This window comes from Homo sapiens, chromosome 8 (assembly GCF_000001405.40).
Source record: "Homo sapiens chromosome 8, GRCh38.p14 Primary Assembly".
Classification (NCBI taxonomy): Eukaryota; Metazoa; Chordata; class Mammalia; order Primates; family Hominidae; genus Homo; species Homo sapiens.
In genome coordinates this window covers 10,026,203-10,053,256 of record NC_000008.11, presented here as the reverse complement: position 1 = coordinate 10,053,256, position 27,054 = coordinate 10,026,203, and the positions used below count along the sequence as shown (strand labels likewise).

At 41.8% G+C, this 27,054-nt stretch overlaps 1 long non-coding RNA gene across 1 annotated transcript; it reads left to right on the top strand.

The window, feature by feature from the left end:
• Positions 1-194: 194 nt before the first annotated feature.
• Positions 195-15,427, top strand: MSRA-DT (MSRA divergent transcript). The gene is made up of 2 exons (XR_002956686.1): positions 195-1,497; positions 14,926-15,427. It is a non-coding gene; the product is annotated as an MSRA divergent transcript (long non-coding RNA).
• Positions 15,428-27,054: the final 11,627 nt, after the last annotated feature.

The window sequence follows — 27,054 nt, the reverse complement described above, 5'->3', positions numbered from 1 at the left end:
TTGTGGTTGATTGTATGAAGTTTCACATGCTAGAAATACTCTGCAACTAAGAGCTGAAGAATGTTTAGTGTGAAGAAATAACTTACTTGGCATGATGGCTCACTCCTGTAATCCCAACACTTTGAGAGGCTGAGGCAGGAGGATTGCTGGAGGCCAGGAGTTTGAGACGCCATCTTTACCAAAAAAAAAAAAAAAAAAGGTATTTAAGTAGTTGGGCATGGTGGTGTGGTAGCGCACACCTGTGGTCCCAACTACTTGGGAGGCTGCACCAGGAGGAACGCTGGAGCCAGAGAGGTAGAGGCTGCAGTGAGCTATGATCACACTGCTGTGCTCCAGCCCGGGCAACAGAGCAAGACCTTGTCTCAAAAAAAAAAAATTAATTTTGATGTTAAATGAAAAAGTAAAACAAATGCAGTGTGCGTGTATACATGTAGTATATATGAAAATGCATGTACTCCCAGTTGCACAGCCACTGAACAATTCGAAAAAAATGCAATTTTTTTTGTTCAGAATAGTGGGATTCTACTGCTTTTCATTGTCTTTAAACTGTTTTAAGTGTTCTGTATTGTTACAACGTTCTCGAGTATTCCAATGGCTGTTACTTTTATAATTATAAAAGAATAAGCATTTTTAAAGAACAGATATATCTTATTTCAAAAACAAGGGTTTTTCGTTTACCAGAATAGCTGCAAGAAAAGTTATATTAGTTTCTTTGGTGTTTTGAGGAAAGAATTGAACATTTTTGCCTTCAGTGGTGCCTTTTTCACCACTAGGACTTCCTTTTCTTCAGACATTCCCCCTAATCCAGCGGTCCCCCACCTTTTTGGCACCGTGGACGAGTTTCGTGGAAGACAGTTTTTTTCCACAGATGGGGAAGGGGAGATGGGGGATGGTTTCGGGGTGAAACTGTTCCACCTCAGATCATCAGGCATTAGTTAGCTTCTCATGAGGTGTGTGCAGCCTAGATCCCTCACATGCACAGTTCACGATAGGGTTTGTCCTCTGATGAGAATCTAATGTCGCTGTTGATCTGACAGCCACATCTAACTTGGGAAGGTGGGAGATGAGGTTCTCTTGCGGAGTGACTATAGATACAACTAATACTTGGATATTTGGCAGTTCTAATAATAAAACAGGAATGTTCTTTGGACAACTGTGACACAATCTACTCCTCTGGCCCCTCAAATATCCATGGATACCCTTGTGACACATAGAACACACCCTGTTTGAAGAGAGAAAACCCAGCATTCTAAGCAGTTACTGCATCCAGCTCAGCGTCCATGATCTAAAGATGTAACAGTCCCTTACAAGTCTGATATAACTCCTCATGGTCCAATGACCTACAGAGTAAATTATGTTATTTATTCCCCTTTCTCTTCCCCACACAGCCAGTATGCAGTGGTGAAGTAGGGCACGAAAACTAATTTGGAAGAAGAGTGAGGACAAAATAGTAGTTCTTTGTCTAAGCGAATGTGAAGAGCAGATTAGACTACAAAGGTAATGAAGTAAATTCTTGGTTAGACCCCAGTTCTGTTTTCCAGGAGGAACTCTGGTTTGTTGCATCCAAAGGTACTGTCTTTACCCATTGGGAGGTTCTTACCCATGATCTATGATTCCATCTGAAGGGCATGCTAAAGAGTGTGCTCCATGAGAGGCTACACATCTTTTTATATCCAGTTTCTTACTGGTGCGCTTTTGAGGGACTGTGGGTTACTTTAGTAGGGTCAGATAGACACAGGCATTGGCAAGCTAGGCTTAATAGCTTCTTTGTCAATTCAATTTTTAAAAGATACCGAATGGATTTCTTATCTGTTTGTTCCTTGTATAGTTCCTTTTACAAATAACCACAGATAGAGATCTCAATTAGTCATATTTCTTATGCCTAACTACTCTTCATTTTTATTTACGAGACTCTCTCATATCTCCTGTACCTACTAACTTAGTGGCTATATGCTTGCACCCAGCAAAAACAGCAGTCATGGTTAGGAAGGCAGTGCCCTTAATATGACCTCTATTGCTTGTCTGGGTTCCACTGTCCAGCAGAGAACACTTTGCTGATGGCCTTTGAGAAGTGCCTTGGGTCACAGTTTTATCTTACACTGTCAGAAGTGTAATAGCTTTTGGCTTTATCAGAACTAGAAGGCTTGAAATCACCACTCAGTCAATTTGTATTGCAGACTACAGGCAGAGAACTCCATCTTAGTATGACTTTATTTCCTTCCAGCTCTGTTAACAAAATGACTAGTTTTTACCTGAGTTCATCTTTCTCAAAGTACTTTGCTAAAGAGACAGGAAGAAGGCAGTACTGTCTCACTGACCCAGAGATTCACTCCCAACCATTTTCCCTGCTACTACAGATTCAAAGAGCAGGTAGTCTGCCTGCTAAGGTACTGAGTTGACAATTTTATCAAATGTCTTGTGGCGGGGGAAAAAAAAAAGGAGGGGCTTGGTCACCAGCTTTTCACCTGTAATACCTGTGCTGCCTGTCAGTTAATTAATACCACATAATTTAGGTTAATGTCATGGTCTCTACAGAAAATCTGGAGCTAATACTGGTTTAGCAACATTGCAGCTACAAAATCTATATGCAAAAATCGTATTTCTATAAGACAAAATAATGGAAATCAAAATTTTAAAAATACTACTTATTTATTAACATCAAAAATATTTAAAATTTGTATCTGACTGAAGATATGTTAGACCTGCACATCAAAACCGCAAAACATTGCTAAGAGAAATGTAAAAGACCTAAATAAATGTGGAGCTATACCATGTAGGTGGATCCGAAGCCTCAGTATTGTTAAATGCCAGTGCTCTCCAAAATGACCTATAGATTCAACACTGTCTCAATGAAAATTCCAGCAGGTTTTTTAGTAGAAATTGGCAAGCTTATTCTAAAACTCAGATGCAAATGCAGAGGACCTACTACAGCCAAAAACTGAGAAGTCCAGTTCCAGTCCAAAATCACGGCTGACCATGGCAATTGTAAAGGCTTTGCCTAGCAGACCTTAGAGGGGAAAGCTGCCCTACTCACACCAGATGTAGAGCACAGGCAGTGAACTGCAGTCTCTGAAGGAAGTTGCAGTCAAGGACTCAGGCCTTACCCCAGGCCAGCCATGCTTATCATTATATCTGCATTTTGAGCCCAGAAACCTTCATTTGGAGGCCTCTGTATTGGGGGACAGGGTGCAGGAGAGTTGTTAAGACATTTCTCCACTTTGAGTCAGTACTCATAGGTCTTCCCATCCTCCCTCCCTCCACCTCCATAGGACAGCAGGAGGCTACCTGAGTTCAAGATTTGCTATAAAGCTATGATATCCAGGAAAGTGTGGTGTTGACCACAAGAGACATAGGTTAATGGAACAAAACAGTTAAAAAAAAAAAAAAAAAAAACCTTGCACACACATGGTCAGTTTATTTTCAACCAAGGTGCAAAGGCAGTTCAGTGGCTTCTAAACTTCAAAACTCTTCTGTTGTTTCTAAACTGCCCAGTCTGTGGGACTCTTTTATAGCAGCCTGATAGACTGAGACAGTGAGAAATGGAGCTTTTATTGTGTGTAAGCCACTAGGGTTTTGAGTGGCTCAATGGTTCTTAGACATCGGCATACACCAGAATCACATGGAGGGTTTATTAAAACAGATTGCCTGGTCCCATCCTAGAGTTTCTGATCAAGTAGTTTGAGTTAGCCCTGAAACTTTGCATTTCTGACAAATTCCTAGGTGATGCTGACGCTGCTGGTCCAGGCAGCAAACTTTGAGATTTATTGTTCTGGTGGAACCCACACCCAATATCCTGGCCCTCAATAAACATGCCTCTAGAGCCCCAGAATCTGTGATTGTTCTCAGCTGCCTTCACCCATTCCGGATTGCACACTGAATCCAAAACTAAAACTTAGCTCAGTGTTGAAGCTATCATTGCTGAATATAAAGAAGTTTGGAACATAACCAGAAACCATGGGAAGAGCTAGGAAATACAGGATATTCAACAGCACCTGATAGAATCTGTTGGACCCTCAAAATCTAAATTCTAGAACCTGAATAAAAACTTCTCTTTGCGATAGTCTATGATTTTCAGAAATTACAACTAAAACCTTTAACATTTTTTTTTGAAATCTACATCACATTAAGCTCTGATTATTATTATTTTTTTTTTAGTCATTGCTCTTCATAGACCAACCATGTTACTGAATCAGATCAAAAGCTGTGGAGAGGGTAAAGCACAAAACAAAAACCCTCACAGGGGAATCTTAACATTTTGAGGGGTAGCAGTGCTCCGCAGTCAGTACACACAGGAGGTGACAAGCAGACTATCTGGAAACCAAAAAATATCAAAGATGCTGTAGGAGAATGTACAGGAAAACTTTCAAGTGTATAAGTTGAAAATGATGCAGAAATGTAGAGGCTATATGACATGTCTTTGCATATTTAGTACCATTAATTGAAAATTTAGCACATTCCAAGAGAACGTGTTCTTAATCAAACTTCAAAACTGACCCATCAAAGTCAATAGGGCAAAGCACCAAATACCTGTGGATGTACTCCTGGGAACTAAAACCAAAATACTTTTGGAGGTTGCAAAGCTGCTGTACTGTGCCAATGTCCTTTCTTATACATGTACATATGTGATGACGGCTTGAGTCAGCTGCAGGGCAGGGGGCTCAATGAGAGCTTTGTAAAGACAGCTCTTCACTTCAGCTCATTAGCTTTGGTAATAGGCAAGTTTGTTTCCCATTATAATTTGATCATTCTTGTGATTAATTCAATGCCAGTTCTTAAAGAACTCTTTTATTTCTGTATATGAAGCTGATGTTTACCTTGGAAATGTTGCAAAATACATATAAGAAAGAAATAAAATATATTTTGAAAATTAGAAAAAAAAAGCCCAAGTCCTTTGGAAGTGTCCAGTGAGAGACAGCTCTGCACTTGTTTCTTGTGTGCCTGGTGAGCTTGCCTCAGCTGTCACCAGTGTCCCTGCACTGCCCCCATCAGAGCACCTGGCACTGCTGACTCCATGCTGTGGCCATTCCCTGGGGTTCAGGGTCCCCCTGCTTTAATCAGACTCCCCCACAGGTAGCCTGGTGCATTTTCTCTCTGAGCGTCTCCCCCCGCCCCAAGGAATTCAGGATCACAACCCCCAGACTGGGTGAGAAAATAATTTAGGGACAGGGTTCAGCACTGCACAGACTGGCATAGAGGTAGTAGTAAGTACTTAATTCCTTTTTCACTCCCTTGCCTACTACTAATGACTCCCCAGTACCCCAATCAATACTCTTTCAGCACTTCCCTGCTGTTTGGTGAGTACCCTGCCCACCTCAGAAGATGGGGCAGCCCTTGACAACCTTCCTCACCCTTGTTAGAGAGGGTGTCTCTTTCTCTGTCTTCCTCCACCGCAGGCCGGATTAGACTCCCCCAATAAATGACTTCCTATCACCATGCATTTTTCCTTCAGAGCTCTCATCAGAAACATCACTGGGGGGCCAGGCGCGGTGGCTCACACCTGTAATCCCAACACTTTGGGAGGCCGAGGCAGGTGGATCACAAGGTCAAGAGATAGAGACCATGCTGGCCAACATGGTGAAATCCCGTCTCTACTAAAAATACAAAAACTAGCTGGGTGTGGTGGTGTGCACCTGTGGTCCCAGCTACTTGGAAGGCTGAGGCAGGAGAATCGCTTGAACCCAGGAGGCGGAGGTTGCAGTGAGCCAAGATTGTGCCACTGCACTCCAGCCTGGCAACAGAGTAAGACTCGGTCTCAAAAAAAAAGGAAAAAGAAAAAAGAAACATCACTGGGGGTAATAATATCAGCACCAACCTCACAGGTTTTTTCTTTTTGTTTTTTTATTGGCGAGGATTAAATAACATGGGGTAAGTGCCTAGAATAGTGCTGGACACATAGGAAGCCCTCAGTGCATGTTAGCTAGGATTATAATACACAATTATTTGTGTGATTGTTTGAAATCGATCTCCTCCTCTGGACAGTAAGCTCCATGCCAGAAGGAATTGTGTCCATATTTTGCTTATTATTATATCCCAATAGTAAGCTTTCATTCACTGCTGGCTGAGTGGGTGCATGAATCACTAAAGGCCCTAAGTCTTCCTCATCCATTCTCCAGGATGTCTAGTGGCCTCTATGCAAATTGGGTTCCTAGTCTCTTATTCTGTTATCTAAGTGTTCTCTGATTAGTATATGAACTAAACTCCTTCATACATACACACCTTTCAGACTTACATCACAGAGACCTCCCCCCTGTACACCCCCACAAAGGACACAGGTAGAATTTAGTTTTGTAAATACTGTTATTTGTCAACCTTATCTTTTCTAACTACTTACTAAACATTTATGACCGTGAAACATGGTAATCCAAGTGAATACACTTAACATACTGCCTAATAACAGTTATGGTGATGATGATTGTCTTTATTATAAAGACATGACAAGCCAAGAGCACTGGACTTCCATTGTAGGACATAAAAAACATTTGTTGAGTAAATGAACAAATGGGGAGGTGAATGAGTATCCAAGAGGTGGCCTGGATTGTAATCTAGTTTTAGATTAACCAGTTCTGTGACCTTTGACAAGTTATTTTGTGTCTCTTTATTTTTCTCTTCTGTGAAATTCAGGGGGCAGCGCGGAAAAAATCAGAAATTCTCTAAATTCCTTGGTTCACCAGCTATTTTATTTTATTTTATTTTATTTTATTTTATTTTATTTTATTTTATTTTATTTTATTTTATCTTAGAGAAAGAGTCTCACTACATTGCCCAGGCTGGTCTCAAACTCCAGGCCTCAAGAAACCCTACGGCCTTGGCCTCCCAAAGTGCTGACATTTCAGATATGGGCTACCGTGCCTGGCGTGAATCACCAACTTTTTAAGCTGAGAGGGCATTTGGTAGATCTGTCAGTTAATAGGTTGTTCATCAACTTCACCCAGAGTCTAAAGGTGTATTGCAAAGTCATCCAGCTTTGATAAATTAGACTGATTCTTAATGCAGAAAACGATACCCCTAGGCACATAGTAGACTCTCAGTAAGTTGTGGGTTGAATGAATGAAGCAGTGAATCGTATGGGATTATCTCATTTAAAACTGCTTTATGTTGATTCGTTTAAAACTTAATTATCAGATAACTTATTTCACTGATATTTATCAATGATAATTCTGTTAACTACCTGTACGAAAATAACTCAGTCCCTTAATCTTATCTTTCTTGGGGACATGTTTGCCTCCAGAGTACATGGACAGTAGACTTTTTTCCTTCAACATGTAACTTTAACAAAATGCAGTTATTTTAGGTCTTATTAAGTGTGCATGCACACACGTGTGTGTGTGTGTGTGTGTGTGTAAAAGAGAATAGAAAAAGCCTGAAAGAATATATCCAGGCTGTTAACAGCAGTTGTCTCTGATGGTAGAAATATAGATAACTTTCACTTTTTTCTTAATTTTTTCTTTTATAATCATTTATTTTTCAATTCAGAAAAAAATAATAGTTTCATAATTCACTTATGAAATAGCCTGGACTCAGGACATATAAGCCAGCTAATTAAATTTTTTGCTTTCTAATTTTAAAAATAGTATCATTCTTTGAGAACACTAAGTATAAAGAGGAAAACATCAACGACCTTCTATTGCAGTAGATCAGATCTCCCGTCCCACCCCTTCCAGATGTATGGAGGGTACCCCTAGCTTCCTGCTCATTTCCAGGGATGAAAAGCACGGTCCAGTTTGGTCTATACTTAGAGACTTCACTCGGGTCTACTTTAATACTCACTCCGTTCCCCACTCCCAGCCCAGCATGGATCCCGCTTCCCTCCTGAAAGACACAAATTGGGAGGAGATCTACTTTTCCTTCTTTCTTCTCCCTGGGATTAAGCTCTTTTAGGATTGCAGCCTGGGAAGGGGGATGGAAGAAATGGAACAGGCCTTTCCTTAACCGGCCTGCCAGCGTGCTTCCTTGTGCGTTGCTCTGCTGGCTTCTCAGGTTCACAGCCACTGGCATGGGAGCCCTGCATATGGGGTGTGTGAACCCTCAAGCGAGCCTCCCCATGCATGGCACCTTGACATGGGACCTCCACCACCAGGAAACCTCCTCCAAAGGTTCTGCAGCTTCTGCTCCAGAGGCACAGTCCACAGTGTCTGGCTGCTCAGAACCCCTTGCCCCAGGAATCCTGAGCTCATGAGCATTACAGAGGCAAGGTAAATTGAGCTAAGCTACTGTAGCTTCCAGTCCTTTAGTTCCAGGGGAGCTTATACCTGCTCACCTTGCCAAGCAGTGGGACCACTCCTCCTTCGTCTCCATTCTCCTTTTCCCTGCTAAGAAAAGCACAGAGCAGACCTACAGGGTACGGGGTTTCAGTAGAAATTTCCGTGGGGAATAATGCTGATTCCTCATTCTTGCAGACCTACCCCATCTGTGGGCAATTCTAGGCCCTTTAGCTTTGGAGGAGTGGGCAGACCATTTGAGATTCCAATGCATCTCCTGCTCCCCAGCCATCAGCCTTTTCCTTATACACACTGGAGAGATTTGACTTCTTGATAGACTCTGAGCAGTTAGACCCCAGTTGTTTGAAGATCTCTTTTGACTTGAGGTAGCTGATGTCTCTCTGCCCTAAGCTTTGGGTCCTTTTTGCCAACTTTAGGGAAACAGGTGAAATTTCCCTCAACCTAGTTATATAAATATCATTCAGATTGATGGGCAACAAAATTAAAGCAAATAATCCAGCTAAGCGTGGTGACTCATGCCTGTAATGCAATGATTTGGGAAGCTGAGATGGGAGGATTGCTTGAGGCCAGGAGTTCAAGATCAACCAGGGCAACATAGCAAGATTCCACCTCTACAAAAAATAAAGTTGGCCAGGCATGGTGGTGCACACCTGTAGTCCCAGCTACTCAGGAGGCTGAGGTGGGATGGTTGCTTGAGCCAGAAGTTTGAGGCTACAGTGAGCCATGATTGTGCCACTGCATGCCAGCCTAGGCAACAAAGCGAAACCCTTGTCTCTAAAAAAAAAAAAAAAAAAAAAACCCAAAATGTCAGCAGTGGTTATCTAATGAGATTGAGAGTAATTTTTATTTTTCCCATTTTTTTTTTACTTTCAAATTTTCTCTTTTTTAAAATTATTTATATATAATAGTTCTACATATTTTGGGGGTACATGTGTATTTTGATACTTGTATACAATCAAATCGGGGTATTACTTTGTAATAATCAAATCAGGGCAATTGGGCTATCTATCACCTCAGACATTTTTCTTTGTGTTGGAAATGTTAAAATTATTCTCTTCTATTTTAAAATATATTCTAAAATTTTCTAGAGTGAACATGTAATCAAAAAGTAAACAATTTTTTTTTTTGAGACAAAATCTTGCTCTGTTGTGCAGACTGAACTGCATTGATCCAGTTTCAGCTTATTGCAATCTCTGCCTCCAGGACTCAAGTGATCCTCCCACCTCATCTCCCCGAGTAGCTGAGACTACAAGTGTGTGCCACCATGCCCAGATAATTTTATTTTTTGTAGAGATGAGGGTCTCACTATGTTGTCCAGGCTGGTCTCAAACTCCTGGGGTCAAGCGATCCTCCCCCCTCAGCCTCCCAAAGTGCTGGGATTATAGGCATGAGCCACAGTGCCCAGATGTAAACAGTTTTATTTAACAAAAAATAATTAGTGTACACATGAGCTGTAGGTTGGTAAAAAGAAAAAACAATTAGGCTATGTTAACCTGTACAACTTTTTAATTATAATCTCAAATACTGGGTTACTCCATTAAGCTAGATTTTGTCTCCTTTAATTTATTCATGCCTCGAAAAGAAAGATAAAATTTCTGCTTTATCAAAGAAAACTTTCTTTTTACACCTTCAGAAGAAATTAGTGCTTTTAAAAGTTAATTATCCAATTTTAGTTTATGTTGAAAAGAGGGCTGGTACTCTATTGAGTTTCTTTTCTTAAATTCTCATTAGCAAATAAATATTTTTGAATTGCTAGCTAGTAATTATAAAATGTGTTATGCCCTCCACATTGTGGAGGAAGCTTTTCTGCATTCATTTATACTGACTTTAACTTGTTTTTTTGTTTGTTTGTTTGGTTTTGTTGTTGTTGTTGTTGTTGTTTTTTGGAGATGGAGTCTGGCTCTGTAGCCCAGGCTAGACTGCAGTGGTATGATCCCACCTGTCTGCAACCTCCACCTTCTGGGATCAAGCAATTCTCCTGCCTCAGCCCGGCAAGTAGCTGGGATTACAGGCACGTGCCACCATGCCCGGCTAATTTTTGTATTTTTAGTAGAGATGGGGTTTCACCATTTTGGTCAGGCTGGTCTCGAACTCCTGACCTCAAGTGATCCGCCCGCCTCAGCCTCCCAAAGTGCTGGGCCTACAGGTATGAGCTACCATGCCCAGCCTACTTTAATCTTTATTCAGAGGTTTCTGATATTGAATATTTCTAAAGGCCTCTTTAGTATATATTTTTTAAAGCAAGCACTACAGCTTGACTTAATTTTTTAACTTACTAAAAAGGCTAACAAGGTTTGCTACCTCAGTATTAACAGAATTCAAAATCAGAATCTCTAAATCATGGCTCTATCTTTGAGCTAGGGTACCCACCCCTAGTATATGTGTCAAATAAATGAGTGCAAATACCTTTAACTAGGTTTACATTTCACTCTTTACATTCCAAAATAATAAACATAGGCATATTCCAAAAATTTCTCCCAGTACAGAGCATCTAGAGTAAAAAAACAAAAGAGCCACTTGAATATATCCTGCCAGTGGGGTATATCATTCACATCTTTTTCTACATAGCTTTATTTTTAAATCACCTCATTAAAACTTTCAAATCTAATCTGATAATTTCGACTCTGGTTTTCATGTGTAAATGCCATCTAAAATACATTTTGATTCATAAACACTATAGCTGTTTAGGTTTGCTTTGTTTTATTTCACCTTTTACCCGTTCTGCCTGCAGATAATATGCAGACATTTTCTAGGTCACAATTATTTTTTCATCAGAACTTCTCCTTGAAATGGTAACCAGCGCCAGTGCACACAAAGAGGAAACAAATTCATCTTTACTTCCAGGCTACCATACGTTTTTCTGTGCTTAGTAAGCTGTGTTTCGTGCCTCATATGCTTCTGTAAGCCTCTCATAAGGTTTAATTTAACTCAATAAATATTTGTGGAATTGAATTGAATTTCAGTAATTATTCCATAATCTTAAAGCATGTAGATACGGGAAGGTAGAAGGATAATACACCGTTTAGTGTTTGCCCTTTGAAGGTTGCCAAACCTCTACAAGCCTATTGCTGAAGTCAGGTGATACTGATAAGTGGGTTTTGTTAGTTATGTGGGGCTCACTAGAGAGGCGTTTAGTTCCTTTCCAATCACTGCTTTTTTTGGTCCCAGATTTCCAAGCTAAAAACCTCAATTGGAAATAAATTCATTTCCTTAAGCCATCTGGTGGCTTTTACTTGTAACTACAACATCGACTAGTGGCCAATCATAGAATTATCATATATGCCGAATACACGTGGGTTCTGTCATTTTCTCACCGTGTCTCCTACAAGATGTGTTGCGATGAAGTGATACCCAAGTAATGTGTAGATATTAGAAATCCAAGAGAAATCTTTATGGTTCTAACCTCGGGGCTACTTTAATATCAAGAGCAACATAGTAAAGGCTGTCGATGGTGGGGTAAGAAAAATCACATTAATTTATTATAATTATAAAATACAATTCTTGTTAAACATCCTTTAACATGCCAGGCAGTGTACCTAGATTTGGGGGCTATAAAAATTAATATGCAAGAGCCCGTGTTCTCAGGGAATACCGGCAAAATGATAACAGGGTAAGTATTATAATAGACCTGTCAAGGCAGAGATGGGGAAACCCTTGACTTTTACCCCAGATTGAAAACCAGAGAATGGCCACTAGTTCCCAGTGAGGTTTGCAACATACCCAAAAATAAAGTCAAAACTCTTTTTTGGAATCAGCTCACATGATGATGCAGCTGTAAGTGGTAGGTAAGTCGGTATCCTACCTTCTGCAAAAGCCAGGAATAGTCACATCTTTGTGTGATGCATAATCCTCAAGGTCATGTTACTCCAAGTTGGATCACAGCTGGGGAACCGGGGGCCCCAAGGTCAGTAGAGAAGCTCCCAGGTGCCTATCCAGCTTAGCCAAAGGTTACCTCCAGCCTGGCTGTTGGAGGAAGTAGTACAGCAAAGAGAATAAAGAGCCTGCTTGCTTGCCTGGCTGCACATGTGCCCATTCTACATCTACCAGCACGCTGAATGACAAAGTGTTAGTAGACAAAGAGAAGGAAGAGTGCATTTTGTCTTGGAAGGGCAGAGAAGGCTCCTGAGAGGCTGTGATGTTTGAGCTGAAGGTGAAAAATGGACAGGAATTCACCGGATAGGTACGGGCAAGGGCATTCTATTTAACGGAGACACATGCAAGTGTAAAGTATAAAAAAAGCAAGGCTGATTTGGGGACCTGTGGGTAATTCTGCATGTACAGAAAGGATGTTGTGAATGCAAAGTGATGGAAGCTACAGCTGAGAAGGTGGGCAAGAGCCCGCTCAGGATGAGATGTGCATGGCAAGCCCAGGGGATGGGCCTTTTGCCCTGCTGATAATGGGGCCACTGAAGGATTTTAAATAGGGCAATTATATAAAATCACTTACATTTTAGGGGAACTGTCCTGAAAGCAAGATTGATATCAGGGCTGAGCGCAGTGGCTCCCATCTGTAATCCCAGAACTTTGGGAGACCGAGGAGGCCAGATCACTTGAGGTCAGGAGTTCAAGACCAGCCTAACCAACATGGTGAAACCCCGTCTCTACTAAAAATACAAAAAAAAATTAGCGGGGCACAGTGGCACATGCCTGTGATCCCAGCTACTTGGGAGGCCGAGGCACGAGAAATGGTTGAACCGAGAAGGCGGAGGTTGCAGTGAGCACTCCAGCCTGGGCAATAGAGTGAGACTCCATCTCAAAACAAAACAAAACAAAAAGATATCAGGTTAAAAGGATGGACAACAGGAACTAGAAGGTCAGTTAGGTGGCTAGTAATATATTCCAGACAAGACATTACAAGGGTTTGCAGATGAAACTAGTGGTAATAAAGATGGAGAAGTGGGCATGGGATTGAGAAATATTGAGCAAGTATAATACACAGGTCCTTGTGACTTGGATATAAAAGCTTACACATACAGAGGAGTTTAGGATAATTCACAGGTTTCTGGCTTATAAAGGTGGGGGCAGGTGTCCCTGAGATTCGCTGAGTGTCTCACTGAGATAGACCACAGAGGAGGGAAAGCAGCTAGGAAGCAGCAAACACAACAAATTTGGTTTTGGAAGCATTCACGTTTGGGTTCCTATGGGGTGGGATTGATATTCCTTAGGCAGCAGGCTGTTCAGGTCTGAAACACAGTGGGAGGTCAGGGCAGAAGATGTAAATTTGAAATCCATCAGCATCAATGCTATGGCGAGGAAGAGATCATTCCTGACCAAGATGTTACGATACCCACACTTGGAAGCCATGTGTTAAATAAATGTCAAATGGATAAATATGCATTCTTATATACACCCAAGAATATACAGATAAACTGGCTGGAGGGCCAGGAAGAAACCTGCCTAGCATTTTCTGTAGAGCCTGGAAATGAAGTTGGGGTGGGGTGAGTGGAGGCCCAGAGAGGGTAAAGATCTGGTGTCACAAAGACATTATGGATAGTTATAAAAATAAATATTTTCTGAGTGTGTATCTAGCTGCATTTATTTCTCGTAACTGAAGGTATAGTGCTGTGTCATCCTTGTCCAGAGCTAGGCATCACTCCTTATCTTCAGCCTTGATTGAAGCACAGAGCCCTGGACCCGACCATGTCAATGGGATAGAAAGTGAAGCGGGACAAGGGCGCTCGCAGGTGTGGAGCTATGAAAAATGTGATCTCAGACAGGGTGGAAATTCCAATCACAGTCACCCTGGGGAAATACCAGCATTATTCATCTACTGGAACTTTAAATTAAAAGGCTACCTAATTCTTCAGGGAAGGGGATTGTTTCCCCTTACGTCAATAAGTCCATTTTCTCCTTCTCCTTTCCTATTACATTTTAGAAGAAATTCATTCCAGTTAATATGAAAATGAGAAGCCACAAATTAGGAAGGATGTGTATGGGAGCAGCTCTGATGATTAACCAAGTCTGTCCGTTACTCTGGGTATCAATAATACACTTATTTTTCTGTCATTTAAATGCTCGGTATCCATCTGCTCTTGGAACCAATCTGAACATCCTAGCATTATAAAGCATGCACTAATGGAAAGATACTGAGCTCCTTTATTAATGTTAGAAGCTCCGTGTCACTTTCATGGAATCGGTAAGGACCATTCTGAAGGACAGTATGGCGTCCACAAAGGAAGAGTATTCGAATGAAACTTACCCTTGTAGGAAAAAAATCTCAGCCCAATCAGAAGCCAGCTATGGTTCACTTTTTCTTATTGAGATGTCCGAAAGTAAAATAAAGATATTCCTATTTCACCTCATTTCTGCTCAAATATTATTGTCTTTACCTAAATAAAAGATGGGATTTCCCTAAATGAAACCGAGCGCTTTCTATAAAATATTTTGACATCTAATGAAGTAAACATTCCTTTGTTAATATTCTTTTTCAAAATTATTTTGGTCCTTCCTCCCTGTTCATTCTTGTTGATAGATTTTTGAGTGAGTTTGTCAATTTCCCCCCAAAATCCTTTGGGGTTTTGACTGGAATCATCTTGTAGCTATGTCATAAGCTGGAGAAAATGGACATCTTTAGTCTTCCTATTGGTGAATGTGCTATGTGTCTCTACTTGTTCAAGTCTTTTTTTTCCCCTGCCTCAATGAATTTTAGCATTTTGTTTATGTAGGTCTGCATGTTTCTTAAGTTCACTCTGTTTTTTTTTAACAGCTTGCTGTACTTACAATGTGTCCAAAAGTACAAGCCAGAGTGTCATATTTATCAGGACACTGAAGGAATGCAAATTGTTCCACTATGGTCTTTTGAGAGATCACATAAAACAGAGGAAAATGTAGTCGTCGTCTATTGTTATGAAGAAATGGCTCATCTTATAAATTATATTTTGGTTGCTTTATGGAAATACCTACCAAATCACAGTGTGACTGCAGCAAATGTGGTTTTTTGGAAGAGCGCAGCCTGTCCAATCAATCTAATTTCCTCAAGAGCAGGATAGCTGTCTTTTAGATAAAGGCAAAGAATTATATGTGAAATATCTGAGTTTCAGCAAGTCTTTATTCTAATGAATACGATTCTGCCACAAAGAATGGAGTCAACATAGTCTGGTGCTGACTGCATTGCTGATGGAGAAGTTGCACTTGAAAAGAGGCTGTCTTTTCAACTCTGTGTTTATTTGTATTAAATTAAAAGAAAACCAGCCTTTAGGGCAAACACACATCTTACAGGAGAACTCAAGTAGCTTTTTTTTCTAGAGTTGCTGTTGGTCATAGCAAAAAGTAGCTTAATTCTCTCCATCTTTTAGCTTGGAAAACATTTGCCTGAATGCCCAACCTACAGTCGTAGAGACTAGACACAACAATATTGCTTGAGAACAAAGAGGGAACCATTAATGTATCACTTCATGATCCTCTGAATTTTGCTATTCCCGTTCCTACCTGTTTATTTAGCATTTTATTAACACAGGGCAACCAACGCCCAAAGAAGTGATGAGGGAAGGAACAGGGGCCAAGAAAGTTATTAACGGATAAGATGAAGACCCTCACAACATACTAATCCTCCCTCTAGTTTTAAAAGATTTGAAGATATAACCAATGTAGAAAGGAACAGAAACTATTGAGGATGTAGAACAACTGGAATTCTCATACATTGTTGGGAATGCAAAATAGTACAACCACTTTGGAAAACAGTTTGCAATTATCTTATAAAGTTAAATATACATTTATCATACCACCCAACAATCCCACTGGTGGGTATTTACCCAGGACTGGCTGTATAATTTGTGTGCCCAGTGTAAAATGAAAATGAGGGGCTCCTTCTTCAACAATTACTAAGAATTTCAAGACAGTGATATTAAACCAAGCACAGGGTCTTTCTGAGTTGAGCCCTATGTGTAATGCACACATTACACACTCAAGAAGCCAGTCCTATATCTACCCAACAGAAATGATAACATTTACCCACACAAAGATATTTTTTTCACAACAGGACTTCACTCTGTTGCCCAGGCTGGAAAGCACTGGTGCAATCATGGCTCACTGCAGCCTCGACCTCCCTGGGCTCAAGTGATCCTCCCGCCTCAACCTCCTGAGTAACTGGGACAACAGGCACACACTACAATGACCTGCTAATTTTTGTATTTTTTGTAGAGACGGGGTTTTGCCATGTTGGCCAGGCTGGTCTCAAACTCCTGGGCTCGAGTGATCCTCCCGCCTCGGCCTCGCAAAGTGCTGGCGTTACAGGCATGAGCCACCATGCCCAGCAACACAAAGATTTTTATGTGATTGTATGTTATGGTCTGAATGTTTGTGTCCCCTCAAAATTCATGTATTGAAATCCTAACCCAAAAGGTGATGGTATTAGCAGGTGGGTGGGGACTTTGGGAGGTGATTAGGTCATGTGGATAGGGTTCTCATGAACAGAACTCTTAGAAGAGATCCCTCGCCTCTTCTGCCATGAGAAGTTACAGTCAGAAGATGGCTATCTGTGAGGAAGCAGGCTTTCCCCAGACACCACATCTGCTGGCACGTTGATCTCGGACTTTCCAGCCTCTGGAACTGTGAGAAATACATTTCTGTTATTTATAAGCCACGCAGTCTATGGTATTTTGTTATAGCAGCTTGAACAGACTGAGACAGAAATTGGTACTGAGAAATGCGATACTATTGTAACAAATTCCTAGAAATGTAGAAGTAGCTTTGGACCTGGAGAATGGGAGAGTTTTTAGGTACATGCTGGAAAAAGCCCACATTGCCATGAAGAGACCTTTAAATGTGATTTTGGTAAAGCTGTGGAAGAGGAGAGCTGTAGGGAGAGCCTCAATCTTCATAGAGGCACCTGAGTAATCCTAGGCAGAATGTTGAGTAGAAATGTGGACACTAAAGTCCATTCTGATGAGATCTGTATTAGTAAGTCTTCATGTTGCCGATAAAGACATACCCAAGACTGGGAAGAAAAAGAGGTTTAATGGACTCACAGTTCCATGTGGCTAGGGAGGACTCACAATCATGGCAGGAGGCAAAAGGCACTTCTTACATGGTGGCAGTAAGAGAGAGAATCATGGTGGAAGGCAAAAGGCATAATTCTTACATGGCAGCACAAGAGAGAGAATGATGGCCAAGCGAAATGGGTTTCCCCTTATTAAACCATTAGATCTCACGAGACTTATTCACTACCACGAGAACAGTATGCGAGAAACCACCCCATGATTCAATTATCTCCCACCGGGTCTCTCCCACAAGACATGGAAATTATGGAAGCACAATTCAAGATGAGATTTGGGTGGAGACACAGAGCCAAACCATATCAAGGTCTCAGATGGAAACGGAGAACATGTTATTGGAAACTGGAGGAAAAGCAATCTTTGTTATAGAGAGGTAAGGAATTTGGTGGAATTGTGTTCATGTCCTAGTGTTTTGTGGAAGGTGGAACTTGTGAGCAATAAAATTGGATAGTTGGCTGATGAAATTTCTTTTTGGGATGGAGGTGGTGATGGAAATGTTCTATATCTTTATTGTGGTGGTGATTACATGGGTTTATACATTTTTCAAAACTTAAGAGTATAATACAACTTCCAAGCTTACAATCAGCTAAAAAGGAAAGAAAAAAAAGTACTAAGCCAGCAAAAGTAAAAACATGGAGAGGGAAAAAAATGAATGGTAAATATCAAAGAAGGTATGAAGTCATGTACATCATGTGATCTGACTCTTTTATTTAAATTTCGTTCTTTCAATATCTTTAGGAGTACACGTGGTTTCTAGTTATATGGATGAATCATACAGTGGTGAAGTCTGGGGTTTTAGTGAAATCATCACCCAAGTCGTATAAGTTATATCCAATAGGTAGTGTTTTCATTCCTCATCTCCACTTCTACCCTTCCCCCTTCTGAGTCTCCAGTGTCCATTATACCACTGTCTGGCTTTGTATACCCATAGCTTAACTCCCACTTACAAGTGAGAACATACAGTATTTGGTTTTTCATTCCTGAGTTATTTCACTCAGAATAATAGTCTCTAGTTCCGTCCAAGTTACTGCAGAAGACATTATTTTGCCTTTTTTTTATAGCTGAGTAGTATTCTATGGAATTTATACCACATTTTATTTACTTACAGGTTGATGGGCACTTAGGCTGATTCCATATTTTTGCAATTGTGAATTGTGCTGCAATAAACATAAAGATGCTAGTGTCTTTTTGATATAATGATTTTTTTTTCCCTTTGAGTACTTACCCTGTAGTGGGATTTCTGGATTGAATGGTTCTTTGAGAAACCTCCATACTGTTTTCCATAGAGGTTGTACTAATTTACATTCCCACCAGCAGTGTATAAGTGTTCCATTTTCACCACATCCATGCCATCTATTGTTTTTTGACTTTTCAATAGTGTCCATTCTGGCTGGGGCAAGGTAGTATCTCACTGTGGTTCTAACTAGCATTTCCCTAGTGATTCGTGATGTTGAACATTTTAAAAACGTTTTTTGTCCATTTGTACATCTTCTTTTGAGAAATGCCTGTTCATGTCATTTGCCCACTCTCACCTCACCCCCCTTTTTTTTTGAGACAGGGTCTTACTCCGTTACTCAGGCTACAGTGCAGTGGCACAATCATGGCTCATTGCAACCTTGACCTCCTGGGCTCAAGTGACCCTCACACTTCAGCCTCCCAAGTCACTGGGACCACAAGCACATGCCAGCATGTCCAGTCATTTTTAATTTTTTTGTGGACATAGTGTCTGCCTGTATTCCGCAGGCTGGCCTTGAATTCCTGGGCTAAAGCAATCCTCCCACCTTGGCTTCCCAAACTGCTGGGATTACAGGCGTGAGCCACTGTACCCAGCCTGCCTACTTTTTAACAAGATTATTTGTTTTATTCTTTCTGATCTGAGTTCCTTGTAGATTCTGGATACTAGTCCTTCGTTGGTTGCATAGTTTGCAAATACTTTCTCCAACTGTATAGGTTGTCTGTTTACTCTGATTATTTCTTTTGGCTGTGTAGAAGCTTTTTAGTTTAATTAGGACCTATTTGTCTATTTTTGTTTTTGTTGCATTTGCTTTTGGGGTCTTCGTCATAAATTATTTGCCTGCCAATGTCTAGAAGAGCTTTTTTCCTAGGTTTTCTTCTAGAATTTTAAAATAATTTCAGGTCTTAGATTTAAGTCTTTAGTCCATCTTGGGTTGATTTTTTTTTATATAATGAGAGATAGGAATCCATTTTTATTCTTCTACATGTGGCTATACAATTTTCCCAGCGGCGTCATTGAATACAGTCCTCTCCCCAGGTTTTTTTTTTGTTTTTTTTTTTTTATGATTTGTCAAAGATCACTTGGTTGTAAACATTTGGCTTTATTTCTGGTTCTCTATTCTGTTCCATTGATCTATGTATCAACTTTTATACCAGTACCATGCTCTTAGGTTGCTATAGCCTTATAGTATAATTTAAAGTTCAGCAATGTGATGCCTCCAGACTTGTTCTTTTTGCTTAGGATTGCTTTGGCTATTTGGGCACTTTCTTGGTATCATATGAATTTTAGCATTGTTTTTTTCTAATTCCATGAGGAATGACATTGGTATTTGGATAGAAATTGCATTGAATGTGTAGACTGCTTTGGGTAGCATGGTCATTTTCACAATATGAACATGTGATCTCTTTCAGCAGTGTTTTGTAGTTCTCTTTGTAGAAATCCTTCACCTCACCAGGTGGAGTGGCTCATGCCTGTAATCCCAGTCTTTGGGGGGCCTAGGGGGCAGACTGCTTGAGCCTAGGAGTTCTAGATCAGCCTGGGAAACATGGCAAAACCCTGTCTCTACAAAAAATACAAAAATTATCCAGGTGTGGTGGTGCACGCCTATAGTCCCAGCTACTCAGGAGGCTGAGGTGGGAGGATAGCTTGAGCCGAGGAGGTGGAGGTTGCAGTCAGCTGAAATCATGCCATTGCACTCCAGCCTGGGTGACAGAGCCAGACACTGTCTCAGAAAGAAAGAAAAAGAGAGAAATGAAGGGAAGGGGAAGGGGAAGGGAAGAAGGAAGAAAAGAAGGAAGGAAGGGAAGGGAAGGAAGGAAGGGGAGGGAAGAAGGGAAGGAAGGGAGGGAAGGAGAGAGGGACAGAGGGAAGAAAAATGAAATCCTTCACCTCCTTGGTTAAATATGTTTTTAAGTATTTTGTTTTATTTTTGCAGCTATTGTAAAAGGGATTGAGTTCTTGATTTGATTATCAGCTTGGTGGTTTTAGTAGTGCTACTGATTTGTGTATACTGATTTTATAATCTGAGACTTTACTGAATTTGTTTATCAAATGTAGGAGTCTTTTGGAGGAGACTTGAGGATTTTCTAAGATTATGTCATCGGCAAGCAGAGACAGTTTGAATTCGTCTTTTCCAATTTGGATGCCCTTTATTACTTTCTCTTGCCTGATTGCTCTGGCTGGGACTTCCCTCATGAAATTTCTAGGTAAAATGTTGAAAATGCTGCTTGATTTCTCTTAACTGCTTATAGTAAAATACAACAAGAGATAAACTATGTAAACATGGATTTTTTTTTTAATCAAAAGGAGAGCAAAACATTAAATTTTGGAAAATTCTCAGCCTATTCATATTGAAAGGTATGAGAAAGCATGTTCAAGAGAAAGCAGGAGTGTAGCCAAGTGACTTTTTGATGAGGAAATTAGTATAGATCTGGTATCCCAAAGGAAACCAGGTGCTATTCATGAAGACAATGACTGAATGACCCAAAAAGTATTTTGGAGTTATTGGTGCTGCCCCTTGCATCACAGACCCAGAACACAAGTGCCTGGGGTTCAGAACAATTTCAAGGCTCTGCTCCCTGCATACTACTCAGCGTTCCTTGGCTGCCCCAGGTGTGGCTCCAGTGGGCCCAAGTGTGGCTTAGCCTGTGGTAGCTATCCCTGCAGAAAGTACAGACAGGAAACCATGGCAGCCTCAGTAAGGCACCATCTCTATCAGAACACAGGGTGCATGAGGCATGGGTCATGGCTATTTTCACCTAGATTTTGAAAGAAAAAGCTATTCAGAGTATTGAGTACCCAACCCAGACCACCATGAGGGTGTGCCACATCACAGTCCCCACTAAGGCAATGCTCTGCGGGTGGGGAGGGGGGCATCGCTGTGACCCCAGACCGGTTGAGTTACTAGCATACAATTCCAGCCCAGAAAAGCCACAGATGGGAGGCTCCAACTCCTAACAGCTGTGGTCGGAGCTGTGTCCAGCAAAGCCATGGGGACAGGGCCTCCAGGAGACTTGGTGGCCCACCCCCTGCCCAGCAAACCTCCAGAGATGGAACCCTTCAACCCAGTGGGCCTAGAGGGCAGACGCTTGAGTCAAAGAAGATTGTTTCTGAGCCTTAAGGTTTTGAACTTGCTTGGAACATATTAGCCCTTCTTTTCTATTTCTCCCTTTTGGGATGAGAATGTCTATCCTGTGCCTGTCCCACTGTTGTGTTTTGGAAGCACATAACATGTTTGCTTTCGTGGGTTCACAGCTGCAGAGCAACTTGCCTGTAAATGAGTTGTACCTTGAGTCCTACCTATATCTGGATTAGATGATGTTTAAATGAGACTCTGGACTTCAGAGGTTTCAGTTGATGCTGGAATGAGTTAAGACTTTGGAGGCTATTAGGGTGAATGTATTGTGCATGTGAGAAGAGTGTGAATTTTGGTGGGCCAGGGATGGAATGCTATGGTCTATGGTTCCCTGAGTAATGCAGATATGTGTCTGCATTACTTGTTTGTGTTTCCCCAAAATTCATATGTTGAAATCCTAACCACCAAGGTGATGGCATTAGGAAATGGGGGGCTACTGAGAGGTGAATAGGTCATGAGGGCAGAACTCTCATGAGGGAGATCAATGCCCTTGTGAAATAGATCCAAGGGGGCACTCCCACCTTGTGAGGATATAGCGAGAAGGCACCATCTATGAATCAGAAAGTGGCTCCTCACCAGACAGCAAATCTGCTAGCACCTTGATCTTGGACTTTCCAGCCTCCAGAACTGTGAGAAATAAATGTCTGCTGTTGATAAGCCACCCAGTCTCTGGCATTTGTTATAGAAGCCCAAATAAACTGAGACAATGTGTACATCTGCATTACTCGTAGAACTGAAAACTGGAAGCAACCCAAATATGCATCAACTGATAAATGGATTAATACATTGTGTTACGTTTGTAAAACGAACTACTACTTAGCAATAAAAAGGAACAAAATATTAAATCATACAGCAGGGATAAGTCTCAAACCCTTCTACTAAATAAGTGGGACACGAAGACTCAATACTGTATTATTCTAATTATATGATATTCTACAAACAGCAAAACTTTAAGTAACAGAAAGCAGGTCAGTGGTTGCCTTGAGCCAGAGGTTAGGAAAGGAGCTTGGAGAAAACATTTTTGAGTAATAAAAATGCTCAATATCTTGGGGAATGTTATTGTATGGAAATTACACTTCAATGAACCTAGAAAAAAATTAAATAGAAACAGAAAGCTAAGTAGACATATATAAAATATAAGTCACATTAATCCAAAACACTTAAAAATAGGTGTATTATGTTGTATGGCATTTTGGCGTAACTAGAGCAATAGGAACATACACATCTGTGAACTGGATTCTTTTTTCAGTCAGCACACATTTTTATCATTGTCGTCTCCTCACTTTATTGCAAGTACAGTCAGCATCAATGTTGAGAACTTTTTCTCCTAGGAGGTACGGGATTTGGCTCTGATACGGTGTTGCCTCCACAGTTGCCCAGAATCTAGCCTCCATCTGCTACAGGAAAGGGGTCCCAATCCAGACCCTAAGAGAAGGTTCTTGGATCTTACGCAAGAAAGAATTTAGGGCAAGTCCACTGTGCAAAGCAAAAGCAAGTTTATTAAGAAGGTAAGGGAATAAAAGAATGGCTACTCCATAGACAGAGCAGCCCTGAGGACTGCTGGTTGCCCATTTCTATGGTTATTTCTTAATAATATGCTAATCAAGGGGTGGATTATTCATGCCTCCCCTTTTTAGACCATATAGGGTAACTTCCCGACGTTGCCATGGCATTTGTAAGCTGTCATGGCACTGCTGGGAATGTAGCAGTGAGGACGACCAGAGGTCACTCTCATCACCATCTTGGTTTTGGTGGGTTTTGGCCGGCTTCTTTACTGCAAACTGTTTTATCAGCAAGGTCTTTATGACCTGCATTTTGTGCTGACCTCCTATCTCATCCTGTGACTTAGAATGCCTTAACCGTCTGGGAATGCAGCCCAGTAGGTCTCAGCCTCATTTTACTCAGTTCCTGTTCAAGATGGAGTTGCTCTGGTTCAAATGCCTCTGACACTTCTGCAACTGCCTAGGCTGCCTTCTTTCCTGAGATGTCCACAGCAGCAGAGTCAGCTTCCCCCTGCTTCCTGTCTGTGGTATCCTGAGTGTCCGGGGACTTGAGACCCCAGAAACTTGGGACCAGGACGCTGCATGAGTGGTCTCCCCAGAAATTGCAAGTACCATTATCCAGCTTCAGTGGCATGGGGTAGGGGAAGAGGGAACTTCCAGGAAAGGCCCCGTCTGCATTCCTGGAATCAGAGAATCTAGAGATGTTGAAAAAGGAGCAACTGTTCCGAAGCTCAGACAGGAACAGGGAATGAGGCAGGGGAGGCTTTAGACAGAGGGCTGCGCAGCCATCCTAAGCCCAAGTGAGAGGGGCTCTGGGCCCTAGAGTTGTCACACTTGCTTGCCCCTCTCCCTGACAGCAGGTGTCTGGGCTCCAGGCACCGAAGGTGCAGCACCTCACAGCCTCCACACAGGCAATGGGTGGAGACCATCCCTCCTCACCTAACTCCATGCATCCCAGTAGGCTTAAGTCAGGAGTAACTTCATGCTTTTCTGATGATCATCAAAGTGTGACTTTAGAAATAATGACCAATCTCCTGAATTAAAATAAAGGACATTCTTCTTTGTTTGCAGATGCTTTAAATTCCTTCAAGAGAGTTTTACTTTCAAATGTCTGGAATGAATAATTAAGCTAAATTCCTTTACCCTAAAGAGTAATCAACAGTTCTAAATGATTCTTCCTGGTTCCAATTGGAAGAGGAGGTACTAAAATGTGTGTGTGGTGTGGGGAAAATGACAGAGAGATAAGGCTGGAAGACAAACTTGATAAACACCATAACTTTTCAAAAGTAGCACAATTTGCTGTCCACCAGACAAAAAGACTGCTCAATGCAATATTTCTGCTGCATGTGCCAAGGCCAGGTTCAAATGTGGGATCAGAGTTCATCAAGACTGTCAGAACACGATAGAAGGCAAGAAATCCCTAGCACCTGATTTCACTGGTGCAAACACAGGCCCAAGAGTGAGGAAGGATCCTAGGCTTTGCCATCTCAACCTCCAGGCTCTTTTCACCACATGCTATTATTACCAGAAACCATCCTGATCTAGACCCCAAGAGAGGGTTCTTAGATTTCACGCAAGAAAGAATTTGGGGCAAGTCCATAAAGTAAAGTGAAAGCAAGTTTACTAGAAACGTAAAGAAACAAGAGATTGGCTACTCCATAGGCAGAGAGCAGCAGCAGGGGCTGCTTGATTGAGCATACTTATGGTTATTTCCTGATTATATGCTAAACAAGGGGTGGATTATTCATGAGTTTTCTGGGAAAGGGGCAGGGATTTCCTGGAACTGAGGGTTCTTCCCCCTTTTAGATCATATAAGGGTAATTTCCAGGCATTGCTATGGCATTTGTAAACTGTCACGGTACTGGTGGGAGTGTCTTTTAGCAGCTAGTGCATCATAATTAATGTATAAAGAGCAATGAGGACGACCAGAGGTCACTTTTGTCACCATCTTGGTTTTGGTGGGTTTTTGCCGGCTTCTTTATCGCATCCTGTTTTATCAGCAGGGTCTTTATGACCTGTATCTTGTGCCGACCTCCTATCTCATCCTGTGACTAAGAATGCCTAACCTCCCAGGAGTGCAGCCCAGCAGGTCTCAGCCTTATATTACCCAGCCCCTATTCAAGATGGAGTTGCTCTGGTTCAAATGCCTCTGACAGTACGATGGATTCCAGTAGTGCTGTTCGGCTCAGCAAACAATATCCCAAAATGAAGGCCTGAGAAGCAGCCTCAGGAGCAAAAGTTTTTCTGACTTTGTCCTTCTCTCCTGTCTCTCAGTCCCGCTCTCCCTCAAGGCTAGCCGCAGAAACTAGAATCCCTCCTCCCCAAGGCTAGTCTTAGAAATTAGAAACCCTTTTCCTCAAAGCCAGCTATAAAACCTAAAAGTATTACTCTGCCTTTCCCTCTGCCTTTCTATGTAAAAACTGGCCGTAAAGAAATGATCTGACCTACACTGTTTGACGGTAGGTCATAAGGCCCCTGTTGCAGAAAGGGTCTCGCCTCATACCCAGAAGGAAGGATCGCTGTGCAGAGGGGCCGGGAGAATCTAGACAGACACGGCTGTCCATACTTTGTTGAACCTGAGAATAAAAATGGACAATCTCCCTTGTACCTCTGGGTCTTCAGTCTGGAGGCTCCATATATACACGTTAAATAAATTTGTGTGCATTTTCTCCAGTTAATCTGTGTTTTACACGCTGATTCTTCAGTGAACCTTCCAAGGCCCCAGGGGAACTTTCCCATTGGCCCGTGCAGTCCATGCTTAGGGGACTGAAGGCGCTGTAGATAACTGCCTCATCTCCCTGTTACGGCTGGAACTGTGTTCTCCAAAAGAATATGCAGGAGTCCTCATCCCCAGTGCCTGAGAACGTGGCCTTGTTTGGCAATATGGTTGCTGCAAACATAATTAGTCAAGATGAGGTCACACTGGAGCAGGGTGGGCCTTTTTACCGGTATGAGTGGTAACCTCCTAGGAGGATGATGTGAGGAAATGGCGGGGAGAAGGCCATGTGAGGAGGGAAGCAGAGACTGGAGTTGTACAGCTGCAAGCCAACGAGTGTTGAGGATTGCTGGTTACCCCTGAAGTAGGAGAGAGGCAAGAAGGATTCTACCGACTCTAAGGTTCTGGAAGACAGAAGCAGTGCCTGGCTCATTTTTCCCCTACAGTGGCTGTCTTATAGAGTAAGGGACCAGAGGAAGCCAGCCCTTTCTTTAGTCATAAGAGCCCCAGACAAAGTGAAGCCCTTTCTTTAGTCACTGACAGAGCAGGAGCATCGCCATCTTGGACAAGCACCGCCATTCTAAAGTTCACCTTGATCAAAAACCGCCTAAATCCAAAGGGCATCAGCCTAATGGCTAAGGTCAGCATTACCATAAACCACAAATAACATCTCCAACCAGAAACATTCCAAACTCCTCCCCGATCAGAAACATGTCAGCCCCAAGATAACCTCCCCTCTGACCAGAGACATTACAACCACATCATAAACTTCTCCACACACAGAAACATTCAAAGCTTGTCATAAGCCCCCTCACCATAAAACCAATATATACTCTTAGTCTGTAAGAGAACATGCTCGTGACTGAGATGGGCCAGAAGCCCCTCTCAGGTTTATTTTGGAGAAATAAACCTGTTCTTTAACTGTTGAGCTGCTTTTCGTGTTTCTTTCCTCTTTCTTTAACTCTTACAGTCACAAAGGCTGCAGAGCTGTCCCCTAGCCCTGTGTTGGCTGGGCAACTCCTTTGACACACAAATGGGAGATGGGAAATGGGGCTAATACCCTGGAGACATAAGGACTCTTTTGCTCCCCATCCTGTCTGCATGGTATTCTTGAAGCCTGCTTGGGAGCTTCACTGGGGCCTGTGTTGCTGTTGATGGCCTTGACGTTTCTCAGCCCCACTCTTCTGTATGGCAATCCTCTGAGCAAACCTCTACCCTGTCTCTGCCACAGACTATTAGAGGGAGCTTCCTGTG